This window comes from Homo sapiens, chromosome 4, assembly GCF_000001405.40.
Source record: "Homo sapiens chromosome 4, GRCh38.p14 Primary Assembly".
Classification (NCBI taxonomy): domain Eukaryota; kingdom Metazoa; phylum Chordata; class Mammalia; order Primates; family Hominidae; genus Homo; species Homo sapiens.
Genome location: NC_000004.12, coordinates 88,443,559 through 88,465,529, shown reverse-complemented (window position 1 = coordinate 88,465,529; position 21,971 = coordinate 88,443,559). Strand labels below are relative to the sequence as shown.

Genomic DNA, 21,971 nt, shown 5'->3' with positions numbered 1-21,971 from the left:
GTGAAGAGACTCATATTCCGATAATTTGGTCTACCTTAATAATATTACCCATTTATGTAATTCTACTCCAAGATCATAAGAAAATATGCCTACAGACTGAAAGTATTCATGCTAGTTTTTTATAAGAATGGTTTCAGTAAACTAACAAATGAACCCAGCATTCAAATACAGTCTGAATTTTGCTCTACGTTTAGTGAGGGAAAAACTGCCCAAAAGAATAAGTGTATATGGGGGAAAATATTTTTTAATCCTACCAACTTCCAACATCCCTCTGGCAAGACGTGGACTGATATATCTGATAATCAAAAAAATTAAATAGTGGCGTGGTGGCTCACCCCTGTAATCCCAACACTCTGAGGGGTCAAGGCGAGCAGATCACCTGAGGTCAGGAGTTCAAGACCAGCCTGGCCAACACGGTGAAACCCCGACTCTACTAAAAATACAAAAATTAGCCGGTTGTGGCCAGGTGCAGTGGCTCATGCCTGTAATCCCAGCACTTTGGGAGGCCGAGGCAGGTGGATCACAAGGTCAGGACATCGAGACCATCCTGGCTAACACAGTGAAACCCCGTCTTTACTAAAAATACAAAAAATTAGCCAGGCGTGGTGGCGGGCGCCTGTAGTCCCAGCTACTCCGGAGGCTGAGGCAGAAGAATGGTGTGAACCCAGGAGGCGGAGCTTGCAGTGAGCCGAGATTGCGCCACCGCACTCCAGCCTTTGCAGCAGAGCGAGACTCCGTCTCAAAAAAAAATAATAAATAAATAAAATTTAAAAATTAGCCAGTTGTGGCAGTGCACGCCTGTAATCCTAGCTATTCCAGAGGCTGAGGTGGGAGAATAACCTGAGCCTGGGAGGCGGAGGTTGCAGTGAGCTGAGATTGCGTCACTGCACTCCAGCCTGGGCAACAAAGCAATACTCTGCCTCAAAAAAAAAAACCAAAAACCAAAAAACAAACAAACAAACAAACAAGAAAACCAAAAAACCTTTAAATAAACTAAGGAGTCTGAGCAAGACATTTTACCTTTCTTTTCTAAAAAGGAGCTGTGAAAATTAAACTTCTTAGGAATATTTCACTCAAACCATCACTGACTATGTCTTATACTTTACTGTGATCAGGGCAGGCTACAATGAAAGAACTCTGGTAATTAAAAAGTATGTTGGCCACAAGGCATTGTCAGAGAGGGTGATTACATTTAATGAATAATCCTTTGTGATTTACATTTTATTTTTCCCAAATAAACAATTAATGACTTGTTTTTTTAAGACAAAAGTGCACCTGAATAGTTACAAAGGTATTTCACTAAGGAGACAGCAGAAAGTGAATTGTATCTGCTCATTTAAAAAAAAAAAAAAAAAAAAAAATCAAAGAAAACAACCATGTATAGTAAAAGGGGTATTACATTTATCTAAATAATATAAATTAAGCATTTTCACTGATTTGAAAATGTTTGATACATCTCAAAGAAACTGAAAGAAATTTTATTAAATTACTATCTAGTTTGCTGCACTCATTTTATCAATTCTTATTGATACTTTACAACTTACCTTCCACATGCTATCTGAGTCACTCTATACCCAACAAGCTCAGCCACCAAACAGGGTCTTAGCTCATTCTGTGTTGAATTATGACCAAGTTGCCCATGTTTTCCAGCACCGAAAGTAAACAGCAGCCCATCCTAAGGAAAGGGAATGTCATATCAGATGCTAGAAAAATAAAATAAAAAAGTAGTATTCACTGATGCAAAGTGAATCACTAATAAATAGCACTGTCAAAGTAAAGCTCCTAAATATCAGAAGGACAGTCCTACATACAGGAAGTGATGACCTTTCTTCTCTGGGAAACACTAACTTCCCATACAAACTGTTCTTCTAAAAATACAGCCAAAAAGAGACAAGGGTACACCCACCTGTGTGAGTAGGGCACTGTGAGAGCCACCACAAGCGACAAATTCAACTTTCTGATTGTCTAGTCCTTCAATAAGGGATGGATCATCTTTACCTATGTAAGGAAAAAAATAGCTGAAGTGACCAAAAGGAAATGCTGAGTTTCACAGTGGAGTTACCTGGACTGCTGCTTCTCAACCCAGCGACAACAGTTCTCATGATATTCTGACAAGAAAGGCTCTATGTTGCCATGTTTAGGATCAAGTTCTACGCCTCAGGGTGAAGGTGGGACCAGTGGCCAAAAGGATCACACTTAGGGGCACCCACCTGTGAAAGGGTCAAACCACTTCCCAAAGCCTGTTCTCAGTTATGACTTGATTCACTTTAATTGCAGCACATTAGATATTTCCAACAGCCATCTAGAATTACTTTTAATGAACATAGCAATTCCTTTCTTTCAAATTATCTACTAGTGTCATCACCTGACACTACCTCTTCTTTTCTTCATGATTATTTTCATGTCAAAAGCACTCAGAGATTCAGCCAAAGTAGTTTAATGGCCGCTTTATTCTCTTCTCTCCTTTGAATATTTTTCTAACACTGACTTATGGGCTATTCTGTGTAATGACCATTGCACTGTGTCAGGGAGAAATGAGTAACCAGTGATCCAGGGTAATGCATACAGTACCACAGCTGGGTAAAGCAGCAGAATTTCTTACACCTGAAAACTCTTAATGAGTTGTTTGGGATCATGAGAAATTTCACCATCAGCTTTGTTCAATAATGGAAATTACATGTTTCTTCATGTGTGTTTACAGACATAATTGATACCTTATAGAATAAGATCAGGATATGTGAGTTCTTAAATATAATTTTAGTATTCTTTTGTAATAATACACTAACAGACTTTAAGTGCAAAGGCTTTAAAGGTCATCTCATCCAAACTTGTCACTTGACAGAAAAAGAAAATGAGGTCTAGAGAAAAGTTTAGTGACTGGGCAAGGCTTGCAGTTAGTAAACTGCAAAGTGGGAATCAGAATCCAGGTTCTCATCCCTAATTCAATGCCCTTTCCCGTCTCACACACAGCCCTGAAACATGTCTCAATTACAGTAACAACTTCCACACTATGTATGCCTCTTGGACTGATTCTGCCCTGAAGACAGAGAGGTAATCAGGAAGAGCAGTGAAAATGAAAGTGAAGATTTGAACCATTTTTGACAGGGAGGTCCATTAAATTCATCTAACAAGTATATCTGTTGGTAATAGGAATCTGAGAATGTGTTCCATACTCTCAGTGTGGCCCAGGCCTAGTTGTCCACATTCATTTTTTCCCCATGAATAAATGTTGCCAGACATGGATAAGGCCATGCTGTGGGCTTCTCCGGCAGAAATCTGAGCCAAGGGTACTCCTGCGAGGTGCTCCACAATCTGTGGTGTGGTGGTTGAGGGAAATTTCCTTCCAACTCCAAGCTGCCCATGCAGGTTCTGTCCCCAGGCAAAAAGCTCACCACCTTGACATAAACAAAGCAAATGCTGTTTTATTCCATTTAAAATGCAGCAGACATTACCCTAAAGCATTATGCATGCTCTACCTAGTATAATATCACAATATTGTACCTTTGCACTGATGGTACTCTCAGTTACCCTATGTCTGCCACAGAAAAACACAGAATCTTCTCTTTAGCAGTGACAGTTACACTTCCTTATCCCTCACTTCAAAAGTGAAGCTATTTGAACATATTAAATAATATCTTCAACATAATAAATTTGATTATAAATCAAATTCAAGAAATATTTACTTTAAAACACTCAGAGGACGGGCCCATGAAAAACAGAAGCAATCTACCTCTATGAAAAACCCCAGCGCTACTGTTTTCTCTCATGTGCCTAATGATCCCAAATAAACAACTGTAAAATTCATTTGAAATTACAAGATCCCAAATAAACAACTGTAAAATTAATTTCAAATTACAGTTTCTTGAACGAGTCAGTTTCTTCTTCCATTAACTGAATATATGGAGCACATTTTTTAGGGAGCGTTCTTAGATGTTATCTGATAGAGCTGACAATATCTAATAGAGTCTAAAAAAATACACCAGAGAATTAAGGTTTACTGGAATCTCTTTGCAAGATATTGTGCAGGATGTGGTGGGAAGCAGAGCCTCTCCTTCACACACAATTTTCATGCACCTGTCAACCACCAGGAATATAATGATGAGCATGACCAGTTTCTTTTCTTGCTTCCCCAACTTTTATTCTTTCTGTACTGTGATTTACTAGTAATAAACTCTGAATATCCCTTTACCCTTGTACATACACGCCTCTAGACCCTGGGCTTCTTAAAGGCAGGGCTTGTGTGTTTCATCTTCATAATCCGAACACAGTAGATAATATGAAATATTTGTTCATGAATGAATGAAGTCAAATGATCAATTTCTTCCAATACAAGTTCATACTATCAAATCTCAACAGGCCTTGCAATGAAGGTCAAATACTCACTAATTATTAACTTCCCTTGAATCCCAGATTCTATTCAGTTTATGAACATGTTTACATCTGTCCTATATATTAACAAAAATTCCCTTGACTTCGAATTCCCCTCTATTACCCTACTTCTATCTTAATTATTCCATTCACAGTAAGTTTCTTTTTTTTTGAGACAGGGTCTCGCTCAGTTACCCAGGCTGTAGTGCAGTGGCACGATCATGGCTCACTGCAGCCTCAAACTCCTGGGCTCAAGGGATCCTCCTGCCTCACCCTCCCAAGTAGCTGGGACTACAGGTGGAAGCCACCATGCCCAGCTAATTTTTAAGTTTTTTTGTAAAGATGAAGTCTCCCCATGTTGTCCAGGCTGGTCTCAAACTCCTGGCTACAAGTGATCCTCCCACCTCAGCCTCCCAAAGTGCTGGGATTATAGGCATTAGCCACCAAGCCTGGCCTCATAGTCAAGTTTCTTTAGGAAATAATTCATATTCACTGCTTCCATTTCCCACCATGACAGTGTCTGATAGAAAATGGGAAATACTACAGGGCTAGGGAGATCCTTGAATTCAAAAGCAATGTTAAAACGTATCAGAGGTCTGCAGCCTGGCCACAAAAGGGGATTCTGAGCCGGAAGAGTGGAAGTTGGAAAGGTGTTAGGAAAAGGGAAGCAGTTTCTGGAAAAGGGTGGCCCCAGGCCTGGATCAGATGTAGAGAAAACAGTTTTGATTATTCAGAAAATTTTCACTGTTTCGTACTTGAAAAATAAAAACATGAAACCAAATTTAGGAATAGTAATTTTGGAAACCTGAACATTTTACAGATCCAAGAATTCTCTCATTATGTATTTACTTTAAGAATCGTACTCGGAACCATATCAAATTCAAAACTGTATTTCTGTCCTGTTACAAGTGAAATATAGACATTCTACTGGCTCCACATATACACACAGGTATTACTTCTACAAAACTATTAATATTACAGAAAAATTACCTTTTGAGAGTGCAAGAGAATGGTAATCTCCACATGTGATCTGAATTATTTTTTTTTCTTGTAAAATGCTTTCAAACCTGATGAAGGAAAATACACTTTGTGTTAATCACCATAATGAAAGTTACAACATGGATTTTAGAACTATTAATAGTATTTAATTAGAAATGAAGCTCAAGAAAAAACTTTCAATTTACTGCATCACATTCAGTACATCTAAAATTATTTTTTAAATACTATGTTTTAATTAAGAAAAAATATGCATTACATAATTATAATAAAATATTATGCAAACAATTTTAGGATGCAGGAATAAATGCAAGATGAAAATGAGTTCTAATTCATATAATCTACTAGGGAAAAGTCTCACAAATTATTTCATGATAATGTGTATTTTTTCTAGGTTAAAAACTTTTATTTCCAGAAATTTAACTTATAGGATTATTGTGAGGATCAAATGAGTTAATGAATAGGAAAGTCCAATTTAGGGCTAGGCAGACTATTTAATCATTTCCTTTAAATGCCAAAACAACACATGATACCTGCCCTGGGGGACATAAGGACTTTACTGGTCAGTTCAGAATTTATTATTTACTTAAGATGCTACTATATAAAGCAGGGGACAAGAATCAGATATTTCCTACAGAAATTATTATTGTCTTTTGATTAAAATTAATTTTTAATAAAAGAAAAAAGTTCCCTACCTTAGATGTTTCATGCTATAGTTGTCATACTCAAATGGTTTTCCATCTGATGAGAGAATCAGCATGTGCTCTGCTCCTTGGTCCACGGAATGTATCTTCATGTTTTTTCCTAATTTAATGCATTCTACAGAGCAAATCCAACCAGGAACTATTGTCACTTTGATTATTACCCACTGTATTACTAACTTCATTATAATACACTTAAAACATCTGGGAAAAATTTCAACTAGACAAGCTTTGACTTACCATGAACTTCTCTTAAGAAAATTCAGGTAGGCAAAGCAAATCAGGAAAGACAACGGTCTTGACATAGATTTTTTTTAATTAGAAAAAATATTGATGTATACTTTGTTGTAAATGGAACATACCCTTAAAATATCCAATTAAATATCTGCTTTTAGGTTCTTGTTTATTAAGACGAACGAAATTTGAAATGACAAAGATGAAAAGGTCTATAAGAAAATATAACTTTAAGACAACATAATCTCATTTCAAGAACAAATAGTGTATTCTGAAACACATTCCTTTCTCCCAAAAAGCAAATAACAGTAATAAACACTTCCCGACAGTTACCAATAGAAACCAATGCCTATATTCTTAAAAGGAAGGATTATGTTTGGGGGACTATCTTTAAAGAGGATGCTGTTGAAAACATTTTTCATTGGCATTAGTGCACATTTGGCCCTTTCTGAAGTTAAGAGATTAAACTGTCCACTAGTAAAAATGTACTCTTATTTAATTTGTTCACAAAAATTAAACTAGGATAGTTTTGGGACCTTGTTTCATCTTCAGTGCTAATGAAATAGAATCTATTCGTGTAAAAATCTCAAAGCACAAACCATATTACAAATGCTAGGGGAACCAAAACAGTTTGGTAATAAGAAATGGTCCAGCAGACTAACGGTTTCTTTTAAAGAGTCTCAGCATTTCAAATCAGTTGAAAAAAAGGAAGTATTAAGAAATGGTATTGGGACATAGGCTAAGCCTTTGGAAAAGCAAATAAATCTAGCTCCCCTCCTACCTCAGTACTGAAAATTCCAAGCGTACGAAAAATTTTAACTTAAAAAAAAAAACCTTAAAATTACTACAAAAATGAGTACATTTTTTAAAACACTGGGAGTGTGGATAGCTTTCCAGCCTAACATAAAACCCATAAGCCTTAACAGACAAAAAAATTGACAGACTACCCCCCAAAAAATGCACTAAAAACAACATGCACAAAAGGCAAAGTGAGAAAAATATTACATGTACGACGTGCAAAAGGCTATTCTTATTCAATATTCAAATACCTCTTCCATACAAATAAGAAAAAGATTTAACAACTCAAATTTCTAAAAGCCAGGCAAAGATAAACAGGCAATTTACCGAAAAAGGAACGCAAACGTCCAGTAGTTAAACGCAAAATAAACTCGCAGCAAGATACCAATTTCTTCACTCCACAGATGGGCAAAATTTTAAAGAACGCGGGCAACTATTTCCCCCACTTCGATGAGAATGTGGGAGAAGTGCAACTGAAGGCCAAGGTAAAATCCCATCACTGAGAACGACTCCCAAAGTTGGAGCAGTGACTACTTTCTCAAAACGAGACAGTGGGAGATGCGGCGGGCGGGGGACGGGGGTACAAACTTGAACAGAAACCTATGAGAAAGCCAGACTGGCTAAAAGGATGAAGACGGTGCCCGCATGCCCCGCACCGGCCACTTTGCTGAGCGGAGGATCCGCTGGTCGCCAGTATCCCGCTCACCCCGCGCCTGACACTGACCGGGATAAAAGACAGCTCAGGTGCGCCGTCGGCGAAACTATCCGAGCCAGGCGCGCGTCTGCGGCCTTCTGGGCTCTCCTCCCTCAGGCGCGGACCCCCGGCTGCCCGCCCCTCACAGCCCTCAGCCCTCACCCCTCACAGCCCTCACAGCCCTCACACACCAGCCCCACTCACTCGGCGTCCGGGCGCCGCCGCTCCCGGCGAGCAGCTGGTGAACCTGGACGCCCGCCCCGCCGCGTTCCAAGACCGCGAGGCGCCCCGGCGAGCAGCAGAGTTGGCGCGTCACCTCCACCCTCCGGAGCAGCGCGCGGTGGAGGCCCGCGGCGCTGGGAAAGAGCCAGAGCTGTGCGCCCGGAGACTTCGCGGGCTGGGTCGCGGCGGCCTTGCCCGCGGTCGAGCGCCCGTTGCGCCGCGACTTCCTCCGCGACCTCCGCTCCATCGCCGCTTTGCGGGGTCCCAGGCCCAGAGGCGAGAGGAGAGAACGCCTGGTCCCGGGACTGAGCGCGCCCACTGCCTCAGGCGTTGCGCTGCAGAGCGGGAACCAGCTGCGCGCAGCTGCGTGGCGTCGGGGAACCGCAGCCTCAGCTACTGAGCCCCTGCCGGGACGCCACGCCCCCCACGTGCTGTTTGGGGGCGGGGCCTGCAGCTCCAGTGGAAAACGAAACATAATGTTTGTTGTTGTTTTTAGGGGGCGGAATCGAAAAGGAAAAGGAAACTGTAATGAGAGTGACTTGGCAGGCGGCCAAAGGCAACAGGTCGTTGGCTGGGGTAAAGGCCGATGGGCTGGACTGAGAAAGTGTCCCCGGGCGGGCAGCGGCCACCTTAACTCCTGGACGGAATGGCTTTCGAGGAAACGCTGCAGTTCCACTAGGAGGCACCCTGACACACGCATTTCCAGAGGGAGGGATAACGGAAGCCAAAGTTTGTTAAGCGTTGTGCGCCGCGGCCGGGCGCGGTGATTCACGCCTGTAATCCCAGCACTTTGGGGGGCCGAGGCGGGCGGATCACGACGTCAGGAGATCGAGACCATTCTGGCTAACACGGTGAAACCCCGTCTCTACTAAAAATACAAAAACAAAATTAGCTGGGCGTGGTGGCGGGCGCCTGTAGTCCCAGCTACTCGGGAGGCTGAGGTGGGAGAATGGCGGGAACCCGGGAGGCGGAGTTTGCAGTGAGCCGAGATTGCGCCACTGCACTCCAGCCTGGGCGACAGAGCGAGACTATGTATCAAAAAAAAAAATGCGTTGTGCGCCGGGCTGAAACCGGCATAAAACTGGGCAGAGCTATGCAGGCAGCTACCCTCCCCCCCACCCCTACCCCCACCCCCACCCCCCTCGTGCCCGCTCCGCTACGTATTCCCGTATTCCCGGGTGCCTGGCAACAGTGATGTGCTTTAGGCCTTTTTTAGAATGCATACAAACGGAACCATATCTAAGTGATGTCTGGCTTTTTTAACTTAGCACAATGCTTTGAGATTCATACTATTGTGTTTAATTAGTAATTCATTTGTGTTATTGTTGAATGGTAGTCTATCATATGGGTAAGCCACAGTTTATTTATCCATTCACCAATTGATGGGCCTGTCGGTTGTAGGGAACAGGAGAAAACTTCCCCTTTGCCCTCTGAAGGGTCACCGAAAATCAACTGACAAGGCTGGGCCTGGGCTCCTGCCTGTAACCCCAGCCCTTTTTTAGCCCAAGGCAGGAGGATCTCTTCTTTGTGAAGTGTGTATTCAAATCTTTTGACCATTTATTTATTAGCTAGCTTGACTTTTTATCTAAGAGTTCTTTATATATTATTGAGTTCTTTATATGTTTCATACCATGTTCTTTATTAGCTATACGTTTTGAAATGTTTTCTACCTGTCTGTGGCTTGCCTCTTCATTTTAAGTGTCTTTTGAAGCACTGAAGTTTTCAATTTTGATGTAATTTATCCATTTTTTTCTTTTACATAGTTCATACCTTTTTTGTCCTACTTAAGACATTTTTGCTAAATTCAAGATTATAAGATTTCCTCATTTGTTACCTTCTGGAAGTTTTATAATTGTTGGTCTTCATTATATTTAAAATGAATTATTCTTTATAGTATCGATAGATGCTGGAGGCAGATAAGGGAGGGTCCCTGGAGAATCTCTGACCTGCCTCACAAGCTTTTGTGCAGCTGAGGAAGCCTGCCCAGGGTCTTGTCTGGGCATGCCCACAAGGGACTTGGGGGCCCACTGCACCAGGAGAGTGGGGTGCAGCCAGAGGGAATTCAGCCTTATGCAGCAGGGATGAGCAAGAAGTCTTCAGCTTGTGTGTGTTGGCCTGTTATTCAGTCTGTGAGCTGGGAGCCTGTTGGCAGGACCCTCCTTGTTTTTTTGCTAAGAGCTTTTAATAAATGCCACTCTTCACCTTGCAATGTATTCACATGCCTAATTGTTCCTGGTCATGAGACAAGAACCTGGATTTTAGCTGAGCTAAGGAGCAAAAATTCCTGCATCAGTATGAGGTAAGAATAAAGGTTCTTTTTTTTCCTTATGGATTTCCAGTCGTTCCAGCTTGCCTATCCCCATGGAATTGCCTTGGCATCCCTGTCAAAACTCAGCTGGCCGTATATTATAACCTCAGAGCCAGCCCAAACTGGCCCTACTCTGTTGATAACAAAATGGCCAGTTACCCTGTAGGTATAACAGAGCCAAAACTGCAAGTTATGTAGACTGGGCATGTGCCATGGAAAAAGCTTTGACCTCTAACAATGAAACGGGAAAGGTTCCCTTGTCCCCTTCGTAGGGCATGCGGCAGTGGGAGTGGGTCGCTTCTTCAGTGCCCCACTGCTCACACCTCTAGGGGAGCATACAGACAGGCAGGTTTTGGGGCTCCAACCCCACGCCAGTGTCTAGGGGTGGATGTTTACTGCTCCTGAAGCACCAGTGGGCTGTGCTACTGTGTGCTTTTTTAGTTTTGCTGTCTATAGGCACTTGTGTTAACCAGCTCAATTAGACCCTCTACCTTGTCACAAGGACAGAAGACTTTCTGTATCCCAGGTTCTTGCCTTGGTGTACCAGAAGAATTGTATCACATGTGGGCTTAGAGAATGAGTGCACGGTTTTATTGAGTGGAAGTAGCTCTCAGCAGATGGGGGAGCCAGAAGGGAGTTGGTTTTCCCCTGGAGTTGAGCCGCTCAGCGGCCCAGGCTGTCCTCCGACTGCCCTGGCCAAACTCCGCATTGTTCTGCTGGTCGATGGCCTGCCAGTGCTAGTGCCTTTAGAATGGTACTTGCCACACAGTACCTACTATAAGTAATTATTCAATGAATTAATGAATCCCTTAACATTCAGATTTTTCAAATAAATTATTCAGCACTTTGCTAAAATAAAAACTCTAGAGATATTCCTGAATATAAAATATATATCTAGCAAGGTTAGGGATATAGGAAATGTTGCTTTACATAACATTGTTTTATTAAAAATATTATTCTTGGCTCACACCTGTAATCCCAGCACTTGGGAGGCAAGGCAGGAGAATTTCTTAAGCCCAGGATTTCAAGACCAGCCTGGGCAACATAGTGAGACCTCGTCTCTTAAAAAAAAATTATTCTTGATTCATCACTTTATTATTTATCCAAACATTTTTCAACTAATTCTCTTTTTTTAAATTGTAAATTGGCAATTTATAATTGTATACATTTATGGGGAACAAAGTGATCTTATAATTTATGAATAACAATGTGGAATAATTAAATCAAGCTAGTTCCCACATCCATCACCTCAAATACTTAACAATTTTTGTGGTGAAAACATTTGAAATTTTATCTCTTCGGTATTTTGAAAAGTGCAATACTGTATTGTTAATTATATTTACCACACTGTGCAATCGAACTCAAAAAAAAAAGAATGAACACATTCATCTCGTTTCTGGGTTAAGTGTTCTGATGGTGAGGTGTCCAGGTCTTGGCACATTGAACAAAGAATTGAACAACACACATGAACAAGCGGTGAAGGAGTGAATTTATGAAAGTGGAAGATAGTGGGCCGGGCGCAGTGGCTCACACCTGTAATCCCAGCACTTTGGGAGGCCGAGACGGGCGGATCACGAGGTCAGGACATCGAGACCATCCTGGCTAACGCGGTGAAACCCCGTCTCTACTAAAAATACAAAAAAATTAGCTGGGTGTGGTGGCGGGCGCCTGTAGTCCCAGCTACTTGGGAGGCTGAGGCAGGAGAATGGCGTGAACCCAGGAGGCGGAGCTTTCAGTGAGCCGAGATCGCGCCACGGCACTCCAACCTGGGCAACAGAGCCAGACTCCCTCTCAAAAAAAAAAGAAAGTGGAAGACAGTGAAGGATCAAAGGCAAAAGTACATTCCACAGGGTGGGAGCGGGCTCAAGCAAGTGATTCAAGAGCCCTGGTAGCAAAGTCTTCTGGGGCTTCAGTACCCTTTAGAGGTTTCTTGTGGGTTACATCCTATGTAAATGAAGGACTGGCTTGTGACCAATTCCACGCCAAGGTGAATTGGCCCATGGCCAATCCAAGACTGGTGTGTTTTGGTGCCTTATGCAAATGAAGGGCCTGGAATAGACCAATCACTGGCCAGAGTGCAGGTACCGGCCTGTGGCCAATCAGAGCCTGATGTGGTTTGGCACCTTATGCAAATGAAGGTCCTGGAATGGACCAATCATAGGTCAGTGTGCAGACTCTTCAGCTCCAGGGAGTCTGTCCAAGTTATCCTTAGATTCCCTATCTCTGGATCCTATTCTCCTGCCTCATTTTCCCCCTGAGAGACATGATCCCTAGAAATCTTTATGGGAGGCAGAGGGACTGATGGTCTTTTCTTTTGTAACTGCTTCCTGCTGATTTAGCACGCTGGCCTTACCTGCTGGGGACCACAGAACTCTCGCCCTGCTTTGTCTTGTGGAGACAGAGTAACCTTTTGACGGCCAGAGGTGGTGCCTTTACCTGGCACTGGCTGGAAACCTTGTCGCACAATCATCTGAAGCTAAATGGTTTCTAGGCAAGAGAAAATGAACTTGGTTAAAAGGTTTAGCAAACATGGGCCAAAGACCAGGGCCAGTATAACCATTAGCAACGGTCTGGCTAGGGGATGGAACCATGACACCCAGCCCAGCACCTTGACCAGGAGCCCCATGATTCCGACAGCTGTTGTATCTTAGCGGCCTGGTCAGCTAGTTTTCAGGTGGCATCCCTTACTATTCCTGATTGGTTGACATAGAAACAGCATTCTTCCTCTAGGAAAAGACATAAGCCTCCCTTCTCAGTGGTTATGAGGTCTAGTCCCCTTCTATTTTGCAAAGTGACCACTGCCAGGGAGCCTATTTGATTTTGTCTGATGACAATACTTTGAGCAATGTCATCCAAGATTTCCATGAAATCAATGGACAAGCCCTGGTAGTAGGATAGGGAAGTTGCCAGCCCGTTAACTCCTGTTCCTATTCCTGCTGTTACTCCCAGCTCTACTAAAAGGGGTATGAGTTGGATGGCTTGCTTGTGTCTGGTGGTTGCAGTCAAAGATACAGTGAGAGATTGGTTATCGGGAGCTATATTAATTTCAGGGGCTAAATAAACAAGTATACAAGTTCCAGTCCAATTGGCAGGTAAACGTAAGTAGGAGCTGGTCCTGCACAGGAAAAATGCTCCCCGTTTTTCAAGACAGAAATTGTTTTCTATGGTGAACATATGGGTTAGTTTGTTATTTTTGCTTTCCCAAGTAGTTAAGGTCCCTGCTAAGGTGGCCCCTGTTGACGACGGGAAGGGGCCTTGCAAAGTTGGGTTGCCCCAGTGGTTTTATTTTCCCAGTGGAGGTAGCTGCTCTTGGCGTCCACCAACAACCACCTGGGAGTATTTTCATAATGGAGAACCAAAAGACAGCTAGAGGTGAATTTCAGGGCTAATGCAGTCTTCCCAAGGAAAAGTGTGGACACAGCTAGGGGGCTTCCCTTAACAGTACTTAGACCGAATATGTTTTAAGATGCCCTTAACTAGGAATGGTTTCCGTGAAAACCATACAGGTTTTCTAAATCATGTAGTTTGGGTAGTTGTGTAATTTACATGATTGTGTGAGGGATTAATCTCCAGAGTGTAGTTGCACTGATTACTCTTCAAGGTCCCCAGGACCTGACTGGACTTTTGGCTCCTTTTGACACAGAGTGTACCTGGAATTCTAGCTCTGTGTGTGTTGATATTGGGCCCTAGATGGGCTTTTCTGAGGATGTAACCCTAGAGAGGTTGCTCTGATAGGACTGCAGGAGGTTTACTGCTCGTCCTGTCATTGTAACCTTTGTCATGTCTGTAATTTGGTTGTATAAGTCATCTAAGTTTATTAGTTTGAAGAGAGTTCCTCCTTTGTAGGCAGGGTGATAAGTCATTTTTTCAAGGGCCCAATATCGTGCTGGGACTGGGATAGCAGTGTACCTGGAGGAGTATGGGGATAAGCAAAGCCAACAATGTTTTTACTAAGGCTAGGCTGGCAGCCAGGCACAGTGGCTCATGCCTCTAATCCCAGCACTTTGGGAGGCCTAGGCGAGCAGATCACTTGAGGTCAGGAGTTCAAGACCAGCCTGGCCAACATGGTGAAAGCCTGTCTCTACTAAAAAATACCCAAAAAACAAAAACAAAAAAACAAGGCTTGGCTGGTGGTGTTTAACAGTCTTTGTGTTAGATTCAAGGTTCTTAGTAAATACTGAGGGTCACCTAATGGTCAGAGGGTAAATCAAGGCCCTGCTGTAGAATTAAGCCAATTCCCAATATGCATGATCCCAGTGTGTGTGGCCTATAGCAAATCATTGTGGGTATGAATGTACCTTTTTGTTATTTTGCTTCCTTTAAGTCCTACAGGATAGGATTCTACTAGGGCAGAGGAAATGATCCTACCTGCTTGGGAAAAGGCAGTTTAATAATGTAAGAAAAACTAGTATTACCCCAACTACCACGAACACACAGAAAAGACACCAAGGAAAGTTAGTAGGCCTTTACTTATCTTTTAGCCATTCTTTTAAACAGGTATTTCAGGTCTTCCACAGGTTCACAGGTATAGTGGCTGGTGGGAGTTCCACGTTCGGGGTCCGGGAACTTCTGGTATGGCAGGCTTGATGCTGGAAAGATGTATCCAATTATCTAACCCTAGTACCTTGACCATGGAAGGTGTGGCCAGCACCACTGAAAATGGTTCCTTCCATTTGGGTTGTAGCTGTTGAGCAGATGATTCCTCTTTCCATGTTTTCACCGGTACCTTACCTCCTGGCCTAATTTTGGGTTGCTGGTTAGTTCCCAGTACAGGGAACCACTGGGTTCCAAACTTTTGTAAATCCTGCTGAAATTGTCCCAGGTTAATTAGGTATTTTACTAAACTGGTTGTTTCTGGATCAGTGATTAGATCATTAGTTAAAGATGGCCTTGCATATAATATTTCATATGGGCTTAGATTAATTTTTGCTTGAGGGGAATTACGGATCCTTAAGAGGGATGTGGGGAGCAAGTCAACCCAAGTCTCTGACATCTCCTGGCACAGTTTAACTAATGCCCATTTTAGAGTTTGATTAGCCTTTTCTACTTTCCTGGAGGATGGAGGCCTCCATGCTGAATGTAAATTTGATCCTGAGGGCCTTAGCAACCCCTTGAGTTATTTGGGAGACAAAAGATAAGCTGTTATTTTGAAGGCTCTGGGGTAGCCCAAACCAAGGGATTATTTCTCTTTCTTTCTTTCTTTCTTTTTTTTTTTTTTTTGAGGCAGAGCCTCACTCTGTTGCCCAGGCTGGAGTGCAGTGTGCTTGGCTCACTGCAGCCCCACCTCCTTGTTTCAAATGATTCCTGTGCCGCAGCCTCCTGAGTAGCTGGGATTACAGGCATGCACCATCGTGCCCAGATAATTTTTTTTTTTTTTTTTCGTAGAGACAGGGTTTCGCCATGTTGCCCAGGCTGGGCTTGAACTTCTGGCTCAGTGATCTGCCTGCCTCAGCTTTCCAAGGTATTGGGATTACAGGTGTGAGACATCGTCCCTAGCCAGATTATTTCTTTTAAGAGAATTTTCACTACTTCATTGGCCTTTTCTGTTCTGGAAGGGTAAGCTTCAACCCAGCTAATAAAGGTTTCTATCAGTACTAGTAAAAACTTGAATCCTTTACAGGCTGGCATATGGGTAAAGTCCAATTGCCAGTCTTACCCTGGGTAAGTTCTCCCTCTTTGGATTGGCTCTGTTAAAGGAGGCACTTTGTTTCCTGGGTTGTTTAATGCACACAGTGAGCAGGCTTGACAGACCTGTTTGGCCATGGAAGCTAGGTTGGATCCAGTGAAGAGCTTGTTTGCCATGGCCAAAGTTGTGTCTCTTCCCACATGGAAAGAGTTATGCAGGGCTTTTATGATTTTCCATTGGGCTGCTTGGGGAAGATTTATTTTTGATCCCTTATACCACCAAGATCCCTGTTTCATTCCTCCTTGTTGTCTTATTAGATGTTCTTCCTGTGAGGTGTACTCAGGTTCTATTGGGGGGTCATAAAAAAGGAGTAGTGCTAAAACTTGTTGAGACTGTACCTTGAGGGCTGCTGCCTTGGATTCCTTTTTGTTCCCTTGTGCTATAGGAGTTAGATTCTTTTGTTGCCCTTTGCAATGAATAATGGCTATGGCCTCTGGCAAATGTTGTCTGCAATAGCTGAAGAATCCCATGTTTTATGGGGGAGTGCTTGCTAGTAAGTAGTCTCCTTTCCAAATTGCAGCATTAGCATGAACCACAAGAAATGCATATTTAGAATCTGCATAGATGTTAGCTTTCTTTCCTTGTCCCAACCTTTATTTATTTATTTATTTATTTTGAGACAGAGTTTTGCTCTGTCGCCCAGGCTGGAGTGCAGTGGTGGTACGATCTCAGCTCACTGAAACCTCCACCTCCCAGGTTCAAGCAATTCTCCTGCCTCAGCCTCCCAAGTAGCTGGGACTACAGGCACACACCACCATGCCCGGCTAATTTTTGTATTTCTAGTAGAGACGGGGTTTCACCATATTGGTCAGGCTGGTCTTGAACTCCTGACCTCAGGTGATCCACTTGCCTCGGCCTCCCAAAGTGCTGGGATTGCAGGCGTGAGCCACTGCGCCAGCCTCTTGTCCCAACCTTAATGCTTGAGTAAGAACAATGATCTCAGCCTTTGTGTCAATGTGCCTGGGGGCAGTAGCTGGACTTCAAAAATGGTGTAATTCACTATTGCATATCCAGCTTGGTGCTCCCTGTTTAGCACAAAGCTGCTGCCGTCTATAAACCAGTTATCCACAGGGTCTGGAAGAGGCTGTTCTAAAAGATAAAAGAGGCTGGCTCCCATATCTGTGTACAATGATTTGCTCACAGGAATGATTGGTTATGGTGCCCATAGGTAGCAGTGCAGCTGATGATATGGTTTGGCTGTGTCCCCACCCATATCTCATCTTGAACTGTAGCTCCCATAATTTCCATGTGTCATGGGAGGGACCCTGTTCCCAGAACCAAGCTGGGTCTGGCTGCGTTTTCTCAAGGCCCAATAAGGAGAAGCAGACAAACTAGGAAAGAATGGAATTTATTGATATAACTGGATACAGGGAGAAGGCCAGAGATAATTCCACCAGACCAACCCAAAGTGTTACAATTTTCTTAGTGCATGTATAGGTTGGGGTTATGTGCCTACGTGCAGTATAGCATTCACCTAAGTCTATTTGTAGCTAATTTTGTTTCAACTAGAAGGACAGAAGCAAAAAATGCTTGCTAAGTTTGATTAAAAGGGCCCCAGAACCTTCAAGGCCTGTCTACTGTGGTACCAGAGTGATTATTTCTATCTTATCTCCTTTGCAGCTTGGTCCAGAGAGCTGCCTTAGACTCTCTAATGAATCTATTCACACAGCTGCCACCATTACCTTGAACTGTCTCAGATTCCGTCAACCCGAGATGGGTCCTAGCACTAGGAATGTAAGACTGTCTCTATTATTTTGACTTGCTCCGGGTTAGGGAGAAACCTACTGACCATATGACATATGTTTCATTTCTAGCTTTGATGTCTGGGCACCAGTTTCCCTAGGCTTAACTATTTGCTAAATGTTAAGGCAGTGCTGTGGAAATCTGTCAGTGTAACTGGAGTGCTATACAGGCCTGTCTGTGTGATTGTCAGGGAGAATTGGCCTGCCACAACCCAGTGGGAGGTAATTGAATCATGGGGGTGGGTCTTTCCCGTGCTGTTCTCATGATAGTGAATCAGTCTCACTAGATCTGATGGTTTTATAAAGGAGAGTTCCCCAGCACACACTGTCTTGCCTGCTGCCATGTAAGACATTACTTTGCTTCTCCTTTGCCTTCCACTAGCCATGATTGTGAGGCCTCCCCAGTCATGTGGAACTGTGAGTCAGTTAAACCTCTTTCCTTTATAAATTACCCAGTCTCAGGTATGTCTTTACTAGCAGCATGAGAACAGACTAATAGAGCTGGGTTTAAGGTGTTACAGGTCTTAATTGTGATCTCTGGATTATCTAGGAGTGCCACCTCGTATTTAATCTTTCTCCTGTCATCCAGATATGTCCTTTTATTTCTAGGACTGGTGGGGAGTTGTGGCTGGTCTAGAGTAATTTTTGTTTATTTATTTATTTGTTTATTTTTGAGGCGGAGTTTTGCTCTTGTTGCCCAGGCTGGAGTGCAATGGTGCGATCTGGGCTCACCATAACCTCCGCCTCCCGGGTTCAAGCAATTCTCCTGCCTCATCCTCCCAAGTAGCTGGTATTACAGGCATGTGCCAGCACCCCCGGCTAATTTTGTATTTTTAGTAGAGACAGGGTTTCTCCATGTTGGTCAGGCTGGTCTCCAACTCCCGACCTCAGGTGATCCGCCCACCTTGGCCTCCCAAAGTGGTGGGATTACAGGCATGAGCCACCACACCTGGCCAGCCTATAGTAATTTTAATAGCTTCTTCAACCAAAATAGCAGTGGCTGCTATTGCCTGCAGGCAGCTGGGCCACCTGGTGGCTACTGTCTTATTTCTTTGAAAAGTATGCAACAACTGGGCACAGTAACGCACGCCTGTAATTCCAACATTTTGGGAGGCCAAGGTGGGTGGATTGCTTGAGATCAGGAATTCAAGACCACCCTGGCCAACATGGTGAAACCCGGTCTCTATTAAAATACAAAAATCTGCTGGGGCATGGTGGTGACAGGCACCTGTAATCCCAGCTAGTTGGGAGTCTGAGGCAGGAGAATGACTTGAATCCAGGAGCTGGAGGTTGCAGTGAACCAAGATTGTGCCAGTGTACTCCAGCCTGGGAGACAGAACAAGACTCCATCTCAAAAAAAAGAAAAGTATGCAATGGGCCTAGGCTCTGTTCTCAACTTCTGAGTAAGCACTCCCACAGCTATGCCTTTCTTTTCTGCTACATACAGGAAGGGCTTGGTGAGGTTTGGAATGCTGAGTGCACGAGCCTGGCTGAGAGCCCGTTTTAACTTGGTGAAAGTCTCCCTCATTTCTAGGGTTCATTCCATTGGCTCATCTTAAGGTCCCCTTGTTGCCTTGTAAAGGGGCTTTGCTATGTGCCCGAAATTTGGGATTTGTATCCTATAGAATTCAGCCATTCCAAGTGAAGCTGCTGCTTGGCCTGTGAATTAATTTTGGTGCCCATGACATCCAGAGTTACCCAGGGATCCTAAGTGGTAGTGATGATGTCCCTGGGTCCCATGAGTCTTCATCTGATCCCTCCTTATGTGCTGCTAGAGTTTTGACTGATGGAGCCCCTTGGTGGGAGCAGGGGCAGTCAATTATCCAGTGCCAGAGGTCACGACTGGTGCCCTCACATTGGCAGCACAGGCCCTGCGTGGGCTTAGTGCAGTACTTTGCCTAGTGCCCACTTTTCTTGCACTTGTAACCAGAGCTTTTGCCGGCATTGTCCTTGGGACCCTTTGGGTTTTCCTTGGATGACTTTTGGGCATTTAGGGCATCACCAGTGACAGTTGCCATAATTTTGGCTGTTTTTCTTTAGTGTATTCCCTTTCCACTTCCTCCAGATCACGTTTGTTATATACCATGCAGGTGGTATCAATAAGCTGATTTTGATTAGTTTGTGGTCCCATGTGTAGCTTCTGGATTTTATGCCTAATGTCCAGGGCAGCTTGGCTAATGAAATCCTGTGCCATTAGTACTTTGCCTTCAGGAGGGGGAGGGTCCAGGTTGGTGTATTTTTTAAAAGCCTTTTCCAATCCACTATAAAATATAGCTTTCCTCCTTAACCTGTGTAATTTCCCTTAATTTACTGCCTTAGTCATTTCCTTTCTCATTCCTCCCAGGTGAGCTTCAAGGAATTTGGCTGGGTTGTTCATTCCCATAGGGGTGTTATAGTTCCAGTTACAGTCAGTGATGGGGACTGTATCTGGGCCCAGGCAATTGCCCTCGGAGTTTCCGGCAAACAGCTTGTTTGCTTCACGTTGGGCGGCCTCAGAAATACATTCTTTCTCCAGAGGAGTGCAACAAGTTGCCAGGATACATTGAACATCTTTCTGTGAGAGATCGAAGGCTAAGGTTAAAGTTTGGAAGCCGTCTGCAAATCTCCTGGGGTTCTCAGAATAAATTCCTAACTTATCCTTTCATTGCTGTATATCAGTTATGGAGAAGGGGGCCTCCACTTAGATTAGCCCCTCAACTCCTGCTACTTCCCTTGGGGGAAATAGAGCTGGACAGGGAATTGAATAAGGTGTTCCCCTGGAAGTGTGTGGGGGAACTTAGTGGAGTTTCCGGCTCCTGTTCCTGGGTTTGATCCTCAGGAGCACTTGGCAAGGGGTTGTATGGAGGTGGTTACAGTTCCCCCTAAGAAACAGTGGCCCTTGCAGAAAGGGGTCATCTATAACATCTGGTTCTACTTTAGGAATTTTTTCTCTTTGAGGGCAAAATTTGGAAGCCTTACAAATTGAAGGGTTTTGGTGCAGGGCCATAAAGGCTTAAACATGGTATTTCTGACCATTTACCCTGCCTTTTACAAAATAAGTCTAATTGCAGGATAGTGTCATGACTGAGACTCCTATTGACTAGCCATTGCTCCTGGCTATCTAGAGGATACTGGGGCCAAACAGTATTACAGTAAAAAAAACAAATGTTTCCCTACTATATTGTCAGGGTTAAATTGGTTCCAATTATTGAGGATGCAGCTGAGTGGGGAGTCAGGTGGTATGGATGGAGTATTTCCTATTGTTGTTTGTAAGAGAGAAAAAGTTCTGAGGAGGGTTTAATACTAGACCTCAGAACCTCCATCTAGGGTCTTCCCCTTCAGAGAGGTTGTGGCCTAGGATTGGATCTCCCAAGGAGTCCCCCTTTGGGGTCCAATCTTAGAGTGTCAGACATCTCTGACCTTAGGTGGGCACCAGTGCTGCTTTGAATGCTTTCCCTTCATAGACAATGGCCTAGTATGATTCCCTTCGTTCTTGGATATGGTTCTTGGCTTTTGGCATCCTTGTAGCTGGCCACAATAGTTTCTTCCCAAATGGTTTCCTTAACCATTGTTGTAAGTACAGTTTGAAGGGCAAGGGATGGCAGACTGCCTAATTTAAACTTGTTGGAGACTGGCCTCTCAATAAGGGAGCATGGTGCTCTCTGACTGTACCAGATAAACCAGGAGCAGAGATTACCCCATGGATCCACTGTGCAATTTATACAGTGATCCAAGAGTCTCCACCAGGATTCTTCTCTTAGTACCAGATCTACTAAACTCAAATGATCTAGAAGTGGTCCCTTACAAAAGAAGCACAGCACTTTCCCTATCCAAGTGGTTGGTCCCTAACCTTTAGGCTAATGTTTGCTGTTGGAGCCTCCATAGTCAGTTACCTATTGCCCTGGCCCTTTGGGTTTGGGGTACATCTCTAATTGGTCTAAACATGTTATCCCAACACAAGCAGCAAATAAATATAATATTATAGTCACAAAAACATGCACCTCATGGCGGTAGGGATTTATCTTGTGCCCCTATTTGTTGCATTCCCTGACAGGCTGACTCTACGAGGGAATTTTAGCATAAGAAAAGGAGGGTTAAAGGCACCTGAAATGTTTATGTATTCACCCTGGACAAGCCGCCACTGCCAGTTGCATCACATGTAGGGCTCAGGAACTATAACCAGGAAAGATAGAAAAGAATCCCACTTCCAGGCCGGGCAGCTAACCCCACTCACTCTTTGGCT

At 43.6% G+C, this 21,971-nt stretch overlaps 1 protein-coding gene and 1 long non-coding RNA gene across 17 annotated transcripts in view, besides 1 other annotated feature; one reads left to right on the top strand and one right to left on the bottom strand.

Annotated features, from left to right (window-relative positions):
- The window catches only part of HERC5 (HECT and RLD domain containing E3 ubiquitin protein ligase 5), a 49,045-nt gene extending 40,634 nt beyond the window's left edge, over positions 1–8,411 (bottom strand). For both annotated transcript variants that reach the window (NM_016323.4, XM_011532022.3), the window contains exons 1-6: positions 7,996–8,411; positions 6,060–6,183; positions 5,359–5,435; positions 3,174–3,395; positions 1,907–1,998; positions 1,545–1,675 (exon numbers count right to left, since the gene is read on the bottom strand). In NM_016323.4, the coding sequence (NP_057407.2) occupies positions 1,545–1,675; positions 1,907–1,998; positions 3,174–3,395; positions 5,359–5,435; positions 6,060–6,183; positions 7,996–8,260 (911 nt within the window). In that variant the 5' untranslated portion in view covers positions 8,261–8,411. The remainder of the gene's footprint in view (positions 1–1,544; positions 1,676–1,906; positions 1,999–3,173; positions 3,396–5,358; positions 5,436–6,059; positions 6,184–7,995) is intronic.
- The window catches only part of LOC102723458 (uncharacterized), a 56,224-nt gene that overhangs the window by 2,177 nt on the left and 32,076 nt on the right, over positions 1–21,971 (top strand). For 10 of the 15 annotated variants that reach the window (XR_007058181.1, XR_007058178.1, XR_001741760.2 and 7 more), the window contains exon 1: positions 8,617–10,312. The exons of 2 other annotated variants lie outside the window; for them this stretch is intronic. This is a non-coding gene — a long non-coding RNA (uncharacterized LOC102723458). Of the gene's footprint in view, positions 1–8,616; positions 10,313–21,971 lie in introns of those variants that run through there. 3 more of the 15 variants (XR_007058182.1, XR_938971.2, XR_938966.2) reach the window with 2 other exon arrangements.
- Positions 8,352–8,781: an enhancer, noted in NCBI's record as "active region_21715". NCBI's record gives its function as "activates an Ori minimal core promoter by ATAC-STARR-seq in GM12878 lymphoblastoid cells {active_cell/tissue: GM12878}" and the evidence as "EXISTENCE:reporter gene assay evidence [ECO:0000049][PMID:35858748]".